The 19,427-nt window shown below is 45.9% G+C and overlaps 1 protein-coding gene across 1 annotated transcript, besides 1 other annotated feature; it reads right to left on the reverse strand.

Annotated features, from left to right (window-relative positions):
• Window positions 1-7,189: 7,189 nt before the first annotated feature.
• IFI27L2 (interferon alpha inducible protein 27 like 2) lies at window positions 7,190-9,013 on the reverse strand. Its single transcript, NM_032036.3, has 4 exons — window positions 8,967-9,013; window positions 8,671-8,700; window positions 7,923-8,084; window positions 7,190-7,401 (listed from the first exon to the last, which is right to left on the reverse strand). The coding sequence occupies exons 1-4, from the start codon at window positions 8,971-8,973 to the stop codon at window positions 7,208-7,210; spliced, it is 393 nt and encodes a 130-aa protein (NP_114425.1). The 5' UTR covers window positions 8,974-9,013; the 3' UTR covers window positions 7,190-7,207.
• Window positions 18,265-18,764: an enhancer, noted in NCBI's record as "H3K4me1 hESC enhancer chr14:94605193-94605692 (GRCh37/hg19 assembly coordinates)". NCBI's record gives its function as "activates a minimal SCP1, AML or CMV promoter by ChIP-STARR-seq in primed H9 embryonic stem cells {active_cell/tissue: H9 hESC(primed)}" and the evidence as "EXISTENCE:reporter gene assay evidence [ECO:0000049][PMID:30033119]".

A 19,427-nucleotide genomic window follows, 5' to 3' on the forward strand; every position in this document is an offset into this window, starting at 1 on the left:
GGTCACCCTTGACACAGTTTCCAATTCTTTGCTGCCTTCCAGTCTCTTAAGATGGTCGATCCATATATCTGCCTTATAAACTGCCTTGTGGTGACCACCTCCTTATGGGACACCTAGATACCACCTACTTGATTCACCTCTCAATCACAGTGTGACTCCACAGAAGTCATGCCTGCATGCTGTAAACCCACCAGTTAGAACCCCAAAGGGAAACCTGCTTGGGTAATGCCCTGGACCCTCATAAAAGCCCACATGTCCCTCGCCCCCTCTCTCTCGCTCTCACCTGCTGTTTGAGCACGTGTGTCCTGGAGGGCGCCCTGTTCCCATTGGCCCTGGATGGCACTCTGCCCTCTTCTCTCTGGGACCTGTAAGCAATAAACTGTTTCTGTTATTTCATGCATTTTGTTGAGTTGCCTCCTCTGAGTCTCATCTGACCAATACACATAAACCTGACTCCCCTCCTAGAGTGTGACTATCTTGGTAGGAATAAACTGGACACAAGTCAGACAAGAGCCACAAAAGCATGTGCCAGTATAAACAAGTTTCCTGTGACGAGACTGCCTGGTCATGAGTTGGACATTTAGGCCTTAGGCTGTCCTCCAGGATAAAGAATAAAGAAGTTTCCTGTGCTTTTACATTGTAAACATCCAAGACCAAATTTCTAGAGCCCCATCAGCACAGGGCTAGAATTTATAGCCACTCTCCAGAGAGAGTGAGAGAGAATGAGAGGCCAAATGAGAGGGGAAAAAAAAGCAAAAAATGTGTGTGTGGGTTTAGGGGGAGATTCTTCCCAGGCATGTTACCAGCCCAGGAAAATAAATGCTCACATTCTGACACTCTGGGAAGAAACTGGCCATTGAAAGCCTGGGTCAGATCACAGTACAGTCCTCGGGTTGATGAGAACAGCCCCTGTGGCCAAGCCTGCCATTGGATATCTACAAAGGCTCAGATATGACGGGGAAGCAGGTGTGAGCCCCTCATGTCTCTGATCCTCTCCCTCCTATCACCCCCAGCTGCAGCCCATCCAGGAGCACTCACCCTCTGACAGCTGTGAAGCTTCAACACCGGCTTCCCCACCCACCAGGAGACTCAAGGGACCCAAGGGAGACTGGAGTGGCTGCTCTGAGTTTGTGGAAAACCGTGGGCACAGGAAGGAGTTATGAGCTGTGAGGACTGCAATGAGCCCAAGTGGGAGATGGCTGGAGTGCTGTGACTTCCAAAGCACCTGGACTGGGGGAGGGAGGAAAAGAGCTTCTATGTCCTGCCACTCTGCCCTCTGTTCTCCTGAGTCCCCATACCAACCTCTGGGTCACCTATGGGACACCCTAAATAGCCACAGGGTGGTCCTAAAAGTGCTGGAACAAGAAGATCAACAAGAAGATCAAAACAAATAACACTTACATACACACACCATGGTCAAGTCACTGCTCATGTCTCATTACATAAAATCCTCACACCATTCCAAGAAAGGTGACGCTCCTGGTCCTATTTTATAGATGTTGTTAGAAGAACTTGTAAGAAGTTGATCCAGAGAACCCCACTCCTGCTGCTATTAAAGATGGGCATCTTTCCGTGGCTGAAAATGATCAACTTTGCAGGTTATTCCCAGTAGATCTGCAGCCTGAATCTGGTTGCCTGCCCACTAACTCTCTCCAGCTGCCTCCTTGAGCAACCAGCCTGCACTCAGGGAGGTAAATTTACTTTTACAGTGAATCAAACAATTTCAGATTGATGAAGAGGTCCGGGGTGGGAGTGGGGGCAGAGCAGTTCAATAATTTTAACCATTTTGGGACCAGCCTCAGCCAAACTCTCTTGAGTGTCTTTGGTAACAGGGATTTACTAGTGGAAAAGATAACTGAGAAGAAACATTTAAAATTGAAATTGAGCCAGGCTTTCCCTTGACAAATTGCAAAGACCTAGGGATCAATCACTGGTTTGAGTGGTTTACCCCATTGCCCCATGCCTTGGCACATGGCACTGCCCAGGGTAGCCCAGCTGGGGAACAGCCCCAAAGTTGAGCTGTATCCTCTTCTAAGATTCGGACAGGTCAGGGGCTACCTGTGGTGCTGAGCGGGTGAATCATTGCACAGAGATGGCAAAGCCACCTGTCTGAGCTTTATCCCAAGGGAAGGAGATGGATAAGACCTGAACACAGCCAGATTTCAGGAGCAATACGATAGAGTGCTGTGGCTATCTTAGGCTCAGGCCTATGGGCTCCTGAGTGGGGACAGAGAAGAGAGTGGGAAGCAGCCTTAGCTGAGACACCAAGATGAGATGTTATGTTTTGGCTGTGTCCCCACCCAAACCTCATCTTGAATTGTAGCTCCCATAATCCCCATGTGTTGTAGGAGGAACCCAGTGGGAGGTAACCAAATCATGGGGGCTGTGCTGTGCTGTTCTCATGATAGTGAATAAGTCTCACGAGATCAGATGGTTTTATAAAAGGCAGTTCCCCTGCACACGCTCTCTTGCCTGCTGCCATGTAAGATGTACCTTTGCTCCTCCTTAGCCTTCTGCCATGATTGTGAGGCCTCCCCAGCCATGTGCAACTGTGAGTCCATTAAGACCTCCTTTTTTTTTAAATAAATTACCCAGTCTTGGGTATGTCTTTATTAGCAGCGTGAGAACAGACTAATACACAAGGATGTAAGTGCAAGTGGCTTATTTGGGAGGTGATCCCAGGAAACACCAACAGGGGAATGGGGAGGCAAGCAATAGAAGGGACAGCAGCCCAGAAAGGGTCGATTAATGAGTGACTTTGCAATGCAGGCTACTGAGGCTCAGTCCCGCTGGGGACCACTGGAGACAATGTGGAACAGGCAAGAGTTGTCCCACCTGTAGGGAGTTAATCGCCCGACTCCCATCCATCATTGGCTGAGGTCTATTCTGGATCAACGCGTGGACACTTTCAGCCTGTCTTGCGGGCCTCATGGGTGGGACCCTGGGGCGGGGGGTCAAAGGTGCTGGATGTAGGGAGCAGTAGGCAGGGACTAGAAGAGAGAGTGTAGCGGGTAGGGGCAACAGTACAGACAGGACAAATGATATTCATGCTGGGAAATGTGTATGTCTTTTCTTCTGGCTAGGCCTTTCCCTGGGGATTGAGTCAATCCAAGCAGGAGTCGAGCTGGACTTGGGTTTTGTAGTTGCCCTATGCTATGGTTTGAATGTTTGTCCCAACTCATGCCGATATTTAATTGCCATTGTAACAGTGTTAAGAAAGAGGGCCTTTAAGAGGTAAGCCACAAGGGCTCCACCCACGTGAGATTAATGCCATTATAGAAGGGTGAGTTTGGCTCTCTTTTTCTCTTTCTCATCTTCCCGCTTTCCATCATGTGCTGATGCAGCAAGAAGGCCCCCAAACATACTGGTACCTTGATATTGCACATCCCAGCTTCCAGAACTGTGAGCCAATACATTTCTATTAGTTATAAATTAACCAGTCTGTGGTTTTCTCTTACAGTGGCACAGACTAAGACAATGTGGTTGCTGTGCATGTGCCACTGGCTTCAGATCAGTGTTACCCTGTGCTTAGGGTGGAGGCTGGCTTGCAGAGGAGTTTGCTCAGTGTCTTTAAGCTTCTGCACTGTGCCTGAGCCTTGGATATGGTCTCTGCACATCTGCCCCATCCCCAGTGGTAGACATCTGTTTGCTTGTTATTTGCTAGCCTGGTTGGATGGGAGAAGTTGGATTCTCTATGATCCTCATCCAGCCTCAGTCTAGGCAGGCCCTGTGTGTTTGGGGCTTAGGGGTGGCATTTTCTCAAGATCCCTGCCCCTCTCCTAAGGGTAGCAGGTCTCCAGGTCTGGGCTCAGGATGGTTTCTTGCTCTTCCCCAAGGGCGGAGGGTTTTACTTTTTCTTCTCCTTCTGCAATTGTCTTTGCATGAGCTTTGGAAGCTACAGGGTCGGCTGTCTTTCCCCCGCAGCTTAAGGTTTTTGTGCCCTTCTAGAAGAGAAGGAAGGTGGGGGGTATTTGATGCCCTTCTTGCTCCCTTCCTCCAGTCTTGCCCCTTCCAGGGAAGCTTTCTTCAGGACCCTGCAGGGACCCAGTCCGCAGGGAAAAAGGTCTGCATGTTGGTAGGATCCATGTTGTCTCTGTGGCTTCTGAAGGTTCTATGCACTCACGTGAGTCTTAGTTGGCCTTTAGCAATCACTTAAGACTTTTAGCTGATTCCTTACTCGCTTGTGCAATGGACCCCAGGGGGCTCAGTGATCCAGAGTCCTGTCTCTCCCTGGAGGCACCTGACTGTCCTGCGTTCAGGCCATCTGGTGCCCCTGCAACCTCAGCTGTCCTAGGAGTTCAAGGAAAGTAATGATTTTGGAGACTGGCCTTTTTTTTTTTTTTTTTTTTTTTTTGAGAAAGGGTCTTGCTCTGTTGCCCAAGCTGGAGTGCAGTGTGCAATCTCGGCTCATGGCAACCTCCACCTCCCTGGCTCAAGAGATCCTCCCATCTCAGCCTCCCAAGTAGCTGGGACCCAGGCATGTGCCAATGCACCCGACTAATTTCTGTATATTTTGTATAGATGGAATTTTGCCATGTTGCCCAGGCCGGAACTCCTGGACTCAAGTGATCCACCCTCCTTGGCCGCCCAAACTTCTGGGATTACAGGTATGAACCACTGTACCTGGCCAGCTCTTCCTTCTTGATAGGTTACCAAGTGGTCTATAAGATGCCTTGTGTGCACCCAGAAGGCTGCCTTAAGACCATCTGTTAGAGTGTGGGCGGAAATTTTAGAACTTGTATTTCTACTTATACCTCATTCTTTGAAACACCTCCAGGGAATGAGGCTTCTCTGGCAGGAAGTGAGACTTCACCCTAGCAGTGAATGGAGCATCAGGGGACACCCAAAAATGCCTGTCACCAGGGTAGGAGCTGTGAATACCCACGAAGTTCCTCCTTGGGGAACAGGGGAATCAAAAAAAGTCTAACTTACAAATGTAGTCATCTCCCATCCCATGTTATTTCTCTTTTTTTAAAAAAAATTATTTTATTTTTAAATTATTTATTATTTTTCAGTTTTCCAGAGGCTGAAGCTAAGAAATTCTCTCCTGTCCTTTAGGTCTTAGGCAAAGCGTCTCTGTTTCAGAGGCCTTCTTTGACCATCTCATCTAAGGAGGGCCTCTGTTATTCTCACATGATTACATTCATCACACAGCCTGGCCTAATGGTGGTGGGAGCCAAGGGTTAGGAGAATGAAGGGAAAAGGTTCAGTCCCTGCCATATCTGGGTCTCCAGACAGGGAGGCTGGAGCTGTCTCATGGGTTATGGGCAGCAGCCCTCAGTGGTGACGGCTTCTGAGGGGCCAGGAACATGGCAGGAAGGAGCAAGATGCTGAGACCTCCAGACGAGGCAGAAGTAGACAGATGCCCCTTCTGCTCTGTTCTCTGTGTAGTTGATGCTGCTACCTTGGAGGAGAGGAGAGGCAGCCTTCTCTGTCACCCCTTCATACCTGAGCCCTTGGGGAAAAGGGCTCAGGTTTTGTCCTGGACACTTGGCCTCTCTTTCCTGGGTTCAGCTGTGCAGGCAGTCCTTGGGAGGAAGATGGAGACCAGGGTGCTCCCCTTGTGGGGCCTGGGCTGCCGCTGTCCTCTGAGTGGCTCAGAGCCTAGGTCTCTGTCCCACAAAATACAGGGGAGTTTCAGGAGCAGCAGACATGCATGTGCCTCAGCATAAGGAATCTAAAATGTATGGGGGCAGAAGGACAGCTGGGGGTCATCCAGAGCAGACTTGCCTCCCTGTAAAACCTCCACACTTGGGACTTCCCTCCTGCCTCTGTTGCTCTCCATGGCTGCCTAGAGGTCCCCTTCCTCTCGCTGGCTTCTCGGAGGTATTGCCTTCCACCCACACTGCCATGGAAATGCCTAGTTACATCTCCCTCTCCAGTTCTCTCACTGAGCAGCTGGGACTTCCTTCCTCCTGGGACACCTTTCCCTTTGCCTGCCTCCTCCTCTGTCAGACTTCCATTCGCCTTTCAAGGCCCAAGCCTTTTGCCTCCTCTTCCAGGAAGCCTCCCCAGATGTGAGAATATATCTCTGCCTCCTCTGTGCTCCCTGCTTGTGGCTGGAGTCCATTACTGCACTGAACATAATGCTCTGTGTCACTTTTGTTTGGGTAAGTGCCCAGTTTCTCCTGACATCATAGTCTCCTGGGGGTCTGTGTGGACCCCTCCCATCCACTGTAGCACCCGTCACATGAACAAAGACTGGAGTCGTTAGGTGACTGATATAGTTTGGATGTTTGTACCCTCCAAGTCTCATGTTAAAATGTGATTCCCCAGTGTTGGAAGTGGGGCCTAGGGGCAGGTGTTTGGGTCATGGGGGCGGATCCCTCATGAATGACTCCGTGTCCTCCCCACAGTAAGGAGTGTTTTCACTCTATTCGTTCACAAGAGAGCTGGCTACTTAAAAGAGCCTGGCATCTCTCTTGCTCCCTCTCTTGCCACTTGACACACCTGCTCCTCCTTCCCCTTGTGCAATTGTAAGCTTCCTGAGGCTTTCACCAGAAGTAAATGCCGGCACCATGCTTCTTGTACAGTCTGCAGAACTGTGGGCCCAATAGACCTCTTTTCTTTATAAATGACCCAGCTTCAGGTATTCCTTTATTGCTACCCCAAACAGCCTCACACAGTGAGGGTGTGGTCAGGGTTCCAGGTCTTCACGCATGAACTCAGCCTCTCCTTCAATTTTCCAGCCACATTTTGGTGACCATTCCTGACTCAGCCTCCTCCCCTCAAAGTGCCTAGAGCCTGCATGTAACACTGGACACATTGTCTTTTCCTGCTGGCTTGCTTATCGGCCTTCTGACAAGACTTTGAGGTTAGGCAAGGGAAGGATGGTGTCCTGCTCATTCTGGGTATCTAGTGCCATTAATGAAGAACAGAGGGCTCTACAGTCAGTGGTTCCTGAAGTGCCCTGGCTACCCCTCACCCCTGCCTCCCAACAGGAGCCTGTGACAATGCCAACATTGAATAAGGGGGAAACTGAGGCCCAGAAAAGGCCCACGAATGGCCCTGGGTCACACGGCCCATCTCCGTAAGGCTGAGACCAATCAAAGCCTTCTGCCTACCGATTATCTGCGTGGCCAACCACCTCCCTCTGCCCCTCCATGACAGGGCAGTCTAGGAGAGAGGGAGAACTGGAAACCTCCAGCTCAGAACACCAACCAGAGCTGCAAGAAGCAAAACAGGGAGATGCATCTGCATGTGACCTTTATTCCTCATGTTTCTCTGACTTGAGTGGGGGTTTTGGAGGTTCACCTTGGGGTACATTTTCTCTTGCCTCATCTTCTTTAGCCTCGGGTTCAGCTGGGAGAGAAGAAGAAGGTGAATTCCCCAAGCAGGCCCCCAACACTGACCCAACAGAGGCCAGGAGGATGTTGGATGATGTGGAGAGTCCAGCTGCCCCTGTGGAGGAGACAGAGAATGAGCACAGGGGTCGGGCAGTGGCCCAGAAATCCCACCCGGATCCCTCCTCCAGGTCCTGAAAATCCCAGGGCTCTGCCATGGGTAGAAGCTGCTAGAGGCAACTAAAAGACAGCTCAGGGGTGAATTCACGGAAACTGAGAGACAGAGGGAGAGTCATCCACAGACAGACCCTAAGAGCTACAGAGCCCCTCACTTTACACAGGAGGCCACTGAGGCCCAGAGAGGACAGGGGACCTTGCCCAGGTCACCCAGGTGTCAGAACCCAGGCATTGCTCTTGGCCTAGGTTCCTTTCCTCTTCTCCCTACCCAGCACCCCATCACCCCTCCACTCCTACCCCAAACCTCACTCAGAAGGAGCCAGAAGAGGGGACAGTGAGGGAGAGACTGAAGACCCAGGAAGCTGAGGGTCACGGAACTTCAGGGTGAGAAGAGCTTCCCTCGGGCTCAGCCTCAGGGCTGGATCTTCTCGCAGCTCTGGTGGTCCTGTCTAGGACACTTACCCACGGACTGCAGAGTAGCCACCAGGCTCCCCGCAGAAACACCACCCCCGTTGGCAATGGCTGCTGCGGACATCATCTTGGCTGCTATGGAGGACGCGGCGATTCCTGCCCCAGTGAAGCCCATGGCACTGAGCACCACGGGCACAGCCCCCACTGCCAGGGCTGTGGGGAGAGAGAAGCTGAGTGCAGAGGTGGGCTCAGGAGAAGGGACCCTTCCCCCCGCCCCCCGCTTAGGAATTCCTTGACAGTTTCCGGAGACTGTCAGCTTGAGCAATACAGAGATGGCAACTTAGTGGTCTTCTGGTGAAGAAAAGGTGGAGTGTGGAGCCAGGTGAAGCAAAGATGTCATAGAAGGACCAGCCATGGCCCTGGTTTGTCTCTAACTTGCTGTGTGATGCTGAGGAAGTCAATACCCTTCATTGGTCTCAAATTTGTGTGTGTGTGTGTGTGTGTGTGTGTGTGTCCACGCATAAATGTGAAATAAGCCACGTGGAGTTTAGCTGCAAATCCTCTTTCAAACGATCTTCCTCCTATGCTTATTCGACATAAGGACTAGAAGAGAAGCTGGGTCAGGAATGGGAGTGAGCTTTTCCCTGGAGTATTTTGATGCTGTGGCTCACTCAGGCTACTCGGGCAGCTTCGGAAGTGGAGGGTGAGAGCCAGCCCAGCGCCTCATCTCTGCGTTCTCCCAGCAGCCCGGGGACCAGGCTAGGTGAGGGCCTGGAGACAGGCGATCCGGGTAACTTACCTCCTCCCACTGCAGCAGCAGCTGCCCGTTCTAGAGAGAGAGTGCCAGGGGAAGGCAGAGGGAGATGGGAAAGGGGAGAAAGAGGAGAGAGAAGGGCAGAAAGGGAGGGAGGGGGAGGGAAGCAAGGAGCGGAGGGAGGAAGGGAAGGGGAGGGAGGAAGGGAGGGAGAGGGAGTCAGTAGGTCAGCTGGTTGATGAAGTCAGGGAATGAAGCTATTCCCTGTCCCTTCCTGGGCTGGGGTTGGGGAAGCCTGCCCCCAGCCCAGCCCGCCAGCCCCCTGGGGAAGCAAGACTCACTCATCATGGTGAGGCCGTCCGGGTCCCAACTTGGCCCAGGAAATGACAGCGTTCTTGGGGTGTTACTTCCCCCTCCATCCAGTAGGGACGCGCCTACTCTGCCCTAGAGAGACGCAGGCCCCGCCCCCCGCCCCACCCCGCTCGCCCGGGAGCCTTCGCGACTCCCCGGCTCGCCTGTCCCGGCTTGATGGATCTACCGAAGAGAAAAGCGCTGGAAAGAACCTGGAAGCCATAGCAAGTGAGCCCCGCTTCCAAATTGCTGTAGCACCGCCCCCCACTCCAACCCCGCCAATAACAGAAGAGCTGTTTGCTGCAAAAACCAAAACCAAAAACAACACAACAATAACAAAGAAACAAACAAAATGCAAGGAGAAAAATGATGTTTAATTTAATAAACGATGTTTAACTTCCAGAGAGACACTAATATAAATACATTCTGGCACGTTTGCTCCCAGCCTATGTCTCCCCTGAATATGTAAACACCCCCTCCACCACTTGCCAATTTCCCTTCACACTCTGCCTTGCAAATTACTTACTTTAGTTAATCAACCATTTAGATTTCCCCAGGCTGCTTAATATCCTTCATCAAGATTTTTAAAAAGTCAAGTTTATTAAGGTGTAGGTGATTTACACAAAGTAAAATTCACCCTTGTAGTGTACACTTCTGTGAGTCTGGGAGGCTTTGACGGCTCTGATTCAGACCGTTTTTTTTTTACATGCCCCGCCCCCTCCTCCATCAATCCTCTCATGCGCTTTTGGAGTCACCCACGCCCTGCTCCTGGCAACCATCCCCGCCCATTTGCCTTTTCCAGAACTTCAATATGATATTTGTCATTAAATATTCCATCCCCTTGGGTTCAACGTATCAGCCCTCCCTTTTAAGTGTTTAAAGTCTAATTTTTGCTCTGATAAGTTATTTTAGCATGAAGTGCTAACATTATGGGGCACAAGTGTTTTCTGTATATTCCTGGAGGTGGAACTGCTGGGTCAGAAACTGTGCATTTTTTACAGCACCTGATACCTGTGTTGTTATGTTGGCATCCAAAACTATTGTCATCAGTTTACATTTTCCCAGCAGTATGTGAGAGAATCTATTTTTTTTCTACTCCTCACTAACAATTAGCTTTGTCGTTAAGAAACAATAACACAAAAACCCTTTGTTGATTTAATAGGTGACTTATTTTAATATACTTTTCTCTTCACCACTAGTGAGACTAAACTATTTTTAAGTGTATTAGCTTCATGTACTCCTTATTTTGTGAGTTATCTTCTCATATTCTTGGATCCTTGTTCTACTGAAGTATTTTTTTCCTTATTGGTATATAGGAATTAATGATATATTAATTATCTTCATCCATTCTCATAGATGTTGCAAATTTTTATTTACACTTCATTCCTGCCTTTTTGGTGTTTTTTTTTTAATAGAAAAGTGTTTAATATTTATGCAAACTTACCAATATTTTACTTTATTATTTTTGTCTTTAGAAAAGGCCATTTCTACTAGCTATTCAATACACTGTCACTTGTATTTTCTTTAGATTCTTCTGGGGTTTGCTACTTAAGATTTACTTTAATCCGTCTGGAATTTAGATTGGTACATATAGTGTTTTCTGTATCCATATATGTCTTAGCCAGTTGTTCCACTACCATTATTAAATCATCTTACATTTCACCTTCGATTTGATATTCCATCTTTATATTCAAAACTCATTAGCTGGTATATATACCAGTATATCTGTTTGGATATTTTCTGTTCTGTTCCAAAAAGCTATCTCTTCTGGCAACAATATCACACTGTTTCAATCTTATAAATTTATTATCTGATTTAAAATCTGACTGTGCATAGCAGTATTGTTAATCCAGGGCTACACATTTTTTGTGAAGATTAAAAACACTTTGTAATGCTCTCTACTATCCTGAAATGAAATTCATAGATAACATCCTCTATTATAGTTACACACAAGGTATTGCCCAAACAAAAGAGAAATACAAGAAAATTACTTGTAATAAAATAGTGTATATTTCAGTATGTACATGCTCAAGCACTATTACACCAAAAGGTATAATGAAAGAATGAGTTGTTTGCAACCATATAAGTTTGGATTTAAGATGATACAATATTCAATGGTAAATTCTTAATTTTTTTTTTCTTGAGATGGAGTCTTGCTCTGTCGCCCAGGCTGAAGTGCAGTGGCGCGATCTCGGCTCACTGTAACCTCCGCCTCCCAGGTTCAAGCGATTCTCCTGCCTCAGCCTCCCGAGTAGCTGGGATTACAGGTGCACGTCACCATGCCCAGCTAATTTTTGTATTTTTAGTAGAGACGGAGTTTCACCATGTTGGCCAGGCTGGTTTCGAACTCCTGACCTCATCATCCGCCCTCCTCAGCCTCCCAAAGTGCTGGGATTACAGGCGTGAGCCACCGTGCCCGGCCAATGCTTACTTTTTTATATTTGATGTTTCAAAACAAGGACCTAAGAAACATATCTATATATTTGTATACATATATCTACATCTAATCACCCTGAATGAGGGAGCTGCAAATACAGGCTGAAGTACATTGCTGCCGGTGACATGATTTTCCGAAATGGTGAATAACTCTTGGTAAAGTTCAGAACAAATCAAAGTACGATTTCTCCCTGATTTACAAGATAACAAAATTCCTAAAAATTCAATCTGTATTAAAACTATGCCAAAAACACGTAAAACATGTTTAAGTTCTAGGCCTAAATAATTATGAGCTTTTTGCTTGTATGAAGAGATCTTTGACATTTATACAGGGTAACTTTTAGCTGTGCAGGATTGTCTTACCTATTTCATTTGTCAGGCCTTCGTTCCCATTCAAGAGCTAAATACAAGCATCCTCTCGCCAATTGCTGACTAATAAAAGCACACCATCAAATTTCCAAAATGCCCCCTAGGGGGCAGTACCATCCTGTTAAAAACTACTGCCTTAGCCTGCTGCCTTAGTATTAATAGTTAAAAACTACTGCCTGCTAAAAACTACTGCCTTTGTTAAAAACCTAGAAGTGTTTATAATTACTTATGGAGAAAATAAAACAAAATAAACAAAACCAATGGCATTAACATTTTTGGCATTAGTTTTAGGACTAATTTGTGCATATTGAGTATTTAACGTGTGTATAAGAACTTGGCGTATGGGGCAGATTACTTATAATTCCAATTTTAATGATGTACTTCCATAAGAGACTTAATCTTATGATTATAAAGTTGAAAGGTATTCTACTTTAAAAACAATTTTGTTAACAAATATTGTTTAAGAAAACTTAACACTCAAAATTATGTTTATTTTATTAAATGTATAAAATTCATCTGTGTTCATGGGAAGTCTTTGCTTGTTAGAGACATATGCAGTGTTTAAAAAGAAAATTGACAATGTTTATATATTTATACACACACACACACACACATGCACACACAAAAGGAAACTAGATTATGTTAATATACATGTAACCTTAAATACTTTGGAGAATTTGCTCAACTAAATTGTAAAAGTCCCCTTAGATGTATAAATAGAATATTAGGATTTTAATTAAAGCTAAGAACTTAAGGATTACTAGATTTTTAATTTATTTCAATAAATTGAATATTAATCTAAAAACCCAAATAGCCTTCAGTGTTTATCAAAGCTGCTTTCAAGGATAACCCAAAATTTCAGTGTGTACCAGCTGCCTTTTTTTCTTTTTCTTTTTCTTTTTTTCTTTGGAGGGGACAGAGTCTTACTCTGTTGCCCAGAGTGGAGTGCAGTGGCATTATCTTGGCTCACTGCAACCTCTGCCTCCCGGGTTCAAGTAATTCTCCTGCCTTAGCCTCCTGAGTAGCTGGGATTACAGGCGTGTGCCACCATGCCCAGCTAATTTTTGTATTTTTAGTAGAGACGAGGTTTTACCATGTTGGCCAGGCTGGTCTCAAACTCCTAACCTCAAGTGATCTGCCCACCTTGGCTTCCCAAAATGCTGGGATTATAGGCATGAGCCACCGAGCCCGGCCACCAGCTGCCTTCTACCACACCCTGAGTAGTGTCAACTGGACCTTTTCTGACTTCCTGGAATATGCAAATAAAGACTGTAAGCCTCAAGCAAACGCAAAAAAAGCACTTAAACCTAAAGGAAAACATTATTAATTATCTGAGCACAATAAAATTAAGAATCTCTGTTTAACAAAAGGCACCATGACAAGAATAAAAATTCGTGCCACATAGTGGGAGAAAATACTTGCCATACACATAACTGACAAAGAATTCATATTCCGAATATATCAATGTCACCTTGATACCAAAACCTGACAAAGGCATTAAAAAAGAACTACAGAAAAATATCCCTTACAAACATACATGCAAATATCCTGAACAAAATACTAGCAAATCAAATCTATAAATATATAAAAGAGACTTATATCATGACCTCATGAGGTTAATATAAGGTGAGTTCAACATTTGAAAATCAATTAATTTACTCCATATACAGAATAAGGGGAAAATATTGTAGTGCATATCAATACATGCTTTGATTAAAAATTCTGAGCAATTTAGGAATAAAGGGAACTTCCTCAACCTTCTAAAGTTTTCTATAGAAAAAAGCAACAAATATCATGCTTAGTGCTGCTGTATTGAATGCATTCTACTTCAGATTGGAAGCAGGCAAGGACATCCACTTTCACCACTTCGATTTAATATCATGATAGAAGCCTTAACCAGTGTAATGAAGAAGGGAAGAAAGAAGAAAAAAATAAGAAAGGTATCAAAATTGGAAAGAAAGATGTAAAACTTTCTTTATTAATGTACAACATTGTTGTTTATGTAGAAAGTACTAAGGAATCTACAAACAACTGCTAGACCTAAGTGAATTTAACAATATTGCAAATACCAATTGCATTTATAAATATCAGCCACACAAAACGAAACATCAATAGCATCCAACTGTTTTCAAATGACACAATAGCATCCAAACTGAAATATTTAGGAATAAATTATGAAAACACATGCAGCACATATAGATTGAAACTACAAATATTGCTGAGAGAAATTCAAGTGGACCTAAAAAAAAGATAAATTACATTCATGGATTGGGAGACTGAATTTTAAGATGTATTAAGTTGTTAATACATCACAAACTGGTCTGTAGATTCAAAGCAATCCCAATAGAAATTCCAGCAGGGTTTAATTTTTTGTGTGAAATTGACATGATGTTTCTAAAATATATACGGAAATGCAAACGACATAGAATACGCTTTTTTGTTTTTTTTTAATGAAAAGATAAAGTTGGAAGATTAACACCGGAGTACTTAATTTCAAGACAGTATAAAGCTACATAATTAAGACAGTGTGATGTTGGTGTGAGGATAGGCAGAGAGATAGATGGGACAGAATAGAAATCCCATAAGTAAACCTAAACATATATGGTCAACTGAGTTTCAACAAAGGTACTAAGGTAATTCAATAGGGATGGTAATTGTTTCAATTGATCCTGGAATTACTGAAGATCCATGTGGCAGGCTAAATAATTAGCCCAAAGATATCAGGTCCTAATCCCTGGAACCTGTGAATGTTACCTGTATTAGTCTGTTTTTACCATGCTAATAAAGTCATACCCGAGACTGGGTGATTTATAAAGAAAAAGAGGTTTAATGGACTCACAGTTCCACATGGCTGGGGAGGCCTCACAATCATGGCAGAAGGTGAAGGAGGAGCAAAAGCATGTCTTACATGGTGGCAGTCAAGAGAGCATGTGAAGGGGAACCGCCCTTTATAAAATCATCAGATCTCATGAGACTTATTCATGATCACAAGAACAGCATGGGAAAACATCCCCCCCATGATTCAATTACCTCCTGCTGTGTCCCTCCCATGACGTGTGGGGATCATGGGAGCTACTTTTCAAGATGAGATTTGGGTGGGGACACAGCCAAACCATATCATTACCTGCAAAGTGTCTTTGTGGATGTGATTAAGTTAAGGATCTTGAGACTGTGAGATATCCTGGATTATCTGTATGGAACCTAAATTCAATCACAAGTATCATTATAAGAAGGAAGCAGAGGAATATCTGATACATAGAAGAGAAGAAGATGATGTGACCACGTGGGCCGGTGCAGCCACAAGCCAAGGATTGCTGGCAGCCACCAGATGCTAGAAGAGGCAGGAAACAGATTCTTCTCTAGAGCCTCCAGAGGCAGCACAACCCTGCTGACACCTTAAATGTGGTCCAGTGATACTGATTTCAGACTTCCGGTCTCCGGAACTGTGAGACAATAGATTTGTTGTTTTAAACTACCAAGTTTATGGTAATTTGTTATAGTACACACAGAAAATTATATAATCCAAATGGAAAACAATCAACCTCCAACTTTACTTCATACCATGCATATATTTGATAAAGGATTCGTAAAAAATGCCTATAGCACAATTTGAAAAAGACAAACTCACTCAATTTAAAAAGGGGCAAAAGGTTTGAGCAAATGCTTCACAAAGCAAAATACATGAGTAGACAGTAACCACACAAAAAAGACTCTCAACATCTTTCGTCATTTGGGAAATGTAAAATGATGCCACCATGGAGCACCACTTCGCGCCCGCTAGAATGGCTAAAATTTAAAAGGCTCACTTCACCAAGTGTTGACAAGGATATGGAGCAACTATCACATATTCCTGTTGGGAGTTTAAAATGGTACTACCACTTTGGAAAACCCTTGGCTGTTTTATAAAGTTAAAGATATTCCTATCCATTAATTCCCCTGCTTGGCATTTACACAAGAGCAATGAAAACATGTCCACACAAAGACTTGTACACAATGTTCAAAACAGCTTTGTTCATAAAAGCCCCTAACTGAAAATAACCAAAAAGATACATTAGCAAGGGAATTATACACACAATACGTGTTCATTAGAATATTTAGAAAACATAAATATGCAAAGTTAAAAAAATCAAAGCCCCTGGTTTCCTAACACTAACCCTGTTAATGTTTATGGTGCAGAGAGCTTTTAGAGTTTCTCCCCATTTTGCCTGCATTTAATGTAGTCCTTAGGCTGGCCTCTAGCCAAGTCTCCCTGTACCCCTCTGAAAATTCCACTGGGGTTCTGAGCCAAACTTCCAGCTTAAAATACAGTGACTGGGTTTGCCTGGGATGTGCCATCCTTCATGAGCTGTGGCAGGGCCTGGGCAGCAGGCCAAGAGTTCTGGGATCGTGGGTCCCTGTCCTCTCTGTCTCTGCCAGCCTTGCGGACTTCCTATAGCCAACCTAGCTGGGCCCGCGGCAGCTGAGTTGCAATCTGAGGACTGGAGTTTGAGAGAATGCGCTTCTTGCTTTGGAGTGCCCTCTCGTGGCGATATCTCAAACTGCAAGCGCAGTTGCTAGCGGGCTGGATAACGCACCCACAGCGCCTGGGTTGGCTGGGCTGGAGCTTAGTTTTCAGGACTGGAGCAGGCTTGTCCTGAACCTCAAACTGAAAGGGCTGTTCAAAATGCAAATACTTATTTACAGTTTCTACACATCAAGCACTGTTGAGACCCAAAGCCGAGTTACTGAAGCCTGCATCATGAGCCTTTCCATGAGAATTGTGTGAAATACCGTAGATGCTGGGTGTAAGGTGACCCACAATATTCCATCATGCCCCATTTTCCCACTTTTGGAATCTATAGAAGATGCCGTCACTGGAAAATTAATCCCAAGCCCCAAAGCCTTATTTACGCAGATTAGAATAGCTTCTGTTCAAGTGTTTGTGATGTCGCCGTGTAAGCCCTCATCGTGATGCTTTAAAAGTCATCGTTAAGTCGTGTTACCTGCTGTCCGGCCCTGGCACAGTGAGGCTACACTCCCACAAATAATGACGAAACTCCCTCCTCCCAGTTCTGCCAGGTGATCCCAAAGTGCATCTGAAACCAGCACAGATTGAGGGAGTCTCACAGTCCTCTGTTACCAAAAAATTGAGAGCCCCCCCCTCCCAGAAAATGAAATACTTTGCAACTGCCCAAGTAGGAAGGGACTCTTTCCCAAGGGATATATTTCTGGGGGGATCCTCCTCTCAGTCTTCACTCAGTTAGGTCCTCCTGCAGTTTGTTTCACATGTTTATTTGTATATCTAGGTTTTCTTTCTTTTTTTTTTTTTTTGACGGAGTCTTGCACTGTCACCTGGGCTGGAATGCAGTGGTACCATCTCAGCTCACTGCAACCTCCGTCTCTCGGGTTCAAGCAATTCTCCTGCCTTAGCCTTCCAAGTAGCTGGGATTACAGGCATGCGTCACCACGCCCGGCTAATTTTTGTATTTTTTTTTTTTAAGTAGAGACGGGGTTTCACTATGTTGGCCAGGCTGGTCTCAAACTCCTAACCTCATGATCTGCCCGCCTCGGCTTCCCAAAGTGCTGGGATTACAGGCGTGAGCCACTGTACCGGCCTGTTCTCTAGGTTTTGAACGCACACATGGGAGCATTTAAAACTACCGTCAGAAAGGACTCCTTTAACTTGATTTCCTCAAGGGATTGTGTGCAGCTAGGAAAGCACGTAGGGCCAAGCTGCTTGTGTTTCTTGAAAACAATAGAAGAGATTTTTCTGGAAAGAACATCCCCAGCCCTGAGTCCAGCTTTTAGGATTAGGGCTCATGGCTCCATCACCGTGGATTTGAAACATCGATTAGCAGAGCCATTAGAGTTCAGCTGCTGGGGGAGGCCAAGGAAGGGGCTTCTGGGCCAGACCAGAGCTTTCGATTCATCTGCAAGACTGTGGGGAAAAGGCTAATTGCAAACCTGTGCTAAGAGCGGGCCACACGTTTTCACATTTAATGCTCACCACAGCCTCATAAAGTTGGTATTTTTAAACCCACAAAATGGAGCACTTACCTCCTTGCAATTATCATACCTCTCTCTGGGTAATTACTTGAATGGAGTGTTGTCGAGCATGATGCAGTCCATTTCCCAGCATCGCAGGGAAATTTTGAAACACAGGTCAAGTGCCCTCACCTTCGAGTTATATCAAGAAGCTTGCTTAATAGAAAAGCCAGCGTAATGAGAATACTGCTCGTTAAATGTGCAGACGATGCCTCTGAGACAGTCTGCAAGATCCCCTCAGCTGGTCCCTTTGCAACTTGGAGGATGGAGCTACTCCAGGGTTCCCCGATCCACTTACTGATCTCAGTCCTGGGTTTACAGGGGATACTCTGCAGCCTGGGGCAGGCCGAAGACCCTCCAGGCCTCCTGGTGCCACTTTGGATATCTGACAACCAAGCAGGGCTCTCCACTTCTCAGCTGCCTTTGGCCCACAGCTGACTTGAGGGTCCATGCCAAGAAGCTTCGGTGACTGAGGAAGGGTTGTGGTGGGGGTGAGCAGGGCTGACGGGGGAAGCGCTGATCTCTCCCTGATCTTCTCCATTGTCTTCTCTGACCCATTCCCTTCACACCACTGGGAAGGGGCTCCCTGCCGCTCAGCCCTTTGCCCTCTGCCCCCTCTCCTCTCCATTCCACATTCTCCTTCTCCTACTGCAGCAGGGTGACACTTCTCCTACTGAGGGAACGGAGGCCCCAGTCACCTCTCAAGGCCACGAAGGACTTTGTGGCTGAGCTGAATTTGAGCTCAGAGCTCCAGGATCCAGACCACACATTCTTCTCCCATACCACATTTCTGTTAGCATATTGCAGTACTTCTCATGCAAATCACGTGGGGTCTTGTTAAAATTCAGATTCGGATCCATTAGGTCTGAGGTGTGGCCTGAGATTCTGCATTGCCAGCAAGCTCTCAAGTAATGCTGACACTGCTGGTCCATGGACCAAACTTTATGTAGCAAGCACGTAGCATTTTCAAAAAAAAAAAAAAAAAAAACCCTCATATATTTTTTATTTGTCTTGATCCTTGCCACAATCCAGCAAGGCTATCAGGATGGGAGCTAATGCCCTGAGTGGAGGGGAGAGGAGACTGAAGTCTAGAAAGTTGCCATGACATATATGCGTTTCCCTGGGTAGCAAGCAGCATCAGGGAAATGGAGCCCCCACTTCAGATTAGGAACCTCTTGCCTGGGGCGTCATGCTGCTCTCCTGCAAAGATGCAAAGGGCCTCCGGCCTGCCAGCATGGCCTTCCGGTGGCTGGAAACCACCCTATGTGTTTAATGTCACCCACATACCTGCCTCTGAGAGCAGCCTTGAAATTGTGGTGACTGTCCTATTATTCTGAGGTCCCATTGTTCCTGCCCTAGTGAGGTGCCCCAGTAAAGCAAAAGACTTTGGAAAAGTTGCTTGTGTCCGTGGGTGGAAAGCACACACATCCCAGAGGGCAAAACTCGCTGTTTTCTTGTGCAGGATCAAGTGTGCTTTGTAGGCTGTCCTTGGCAGTGAAAATGGGCCATATAAATTATACATTGAAATAATAGAGGCTGCTGCAATCTGCCAGAAGGTCTACAAAGTTGGAGATGATGAACTTGTCGGTGAACTGTGGGCTGTGCCAAGGGCACCTGGAGAA

This window comes from Homo sapiens, chromosome 14, assembly GCF_000001405.40.
Source record: "Homo sapiens chromosome 14, GRCh38.p14 Primary Assembly".
NCBI classification, from domain to species: Eukaryota; Metazoa; Chordata; class Mammalia; order Primates; family Hominidae; genus Homo; species Homo sapiens.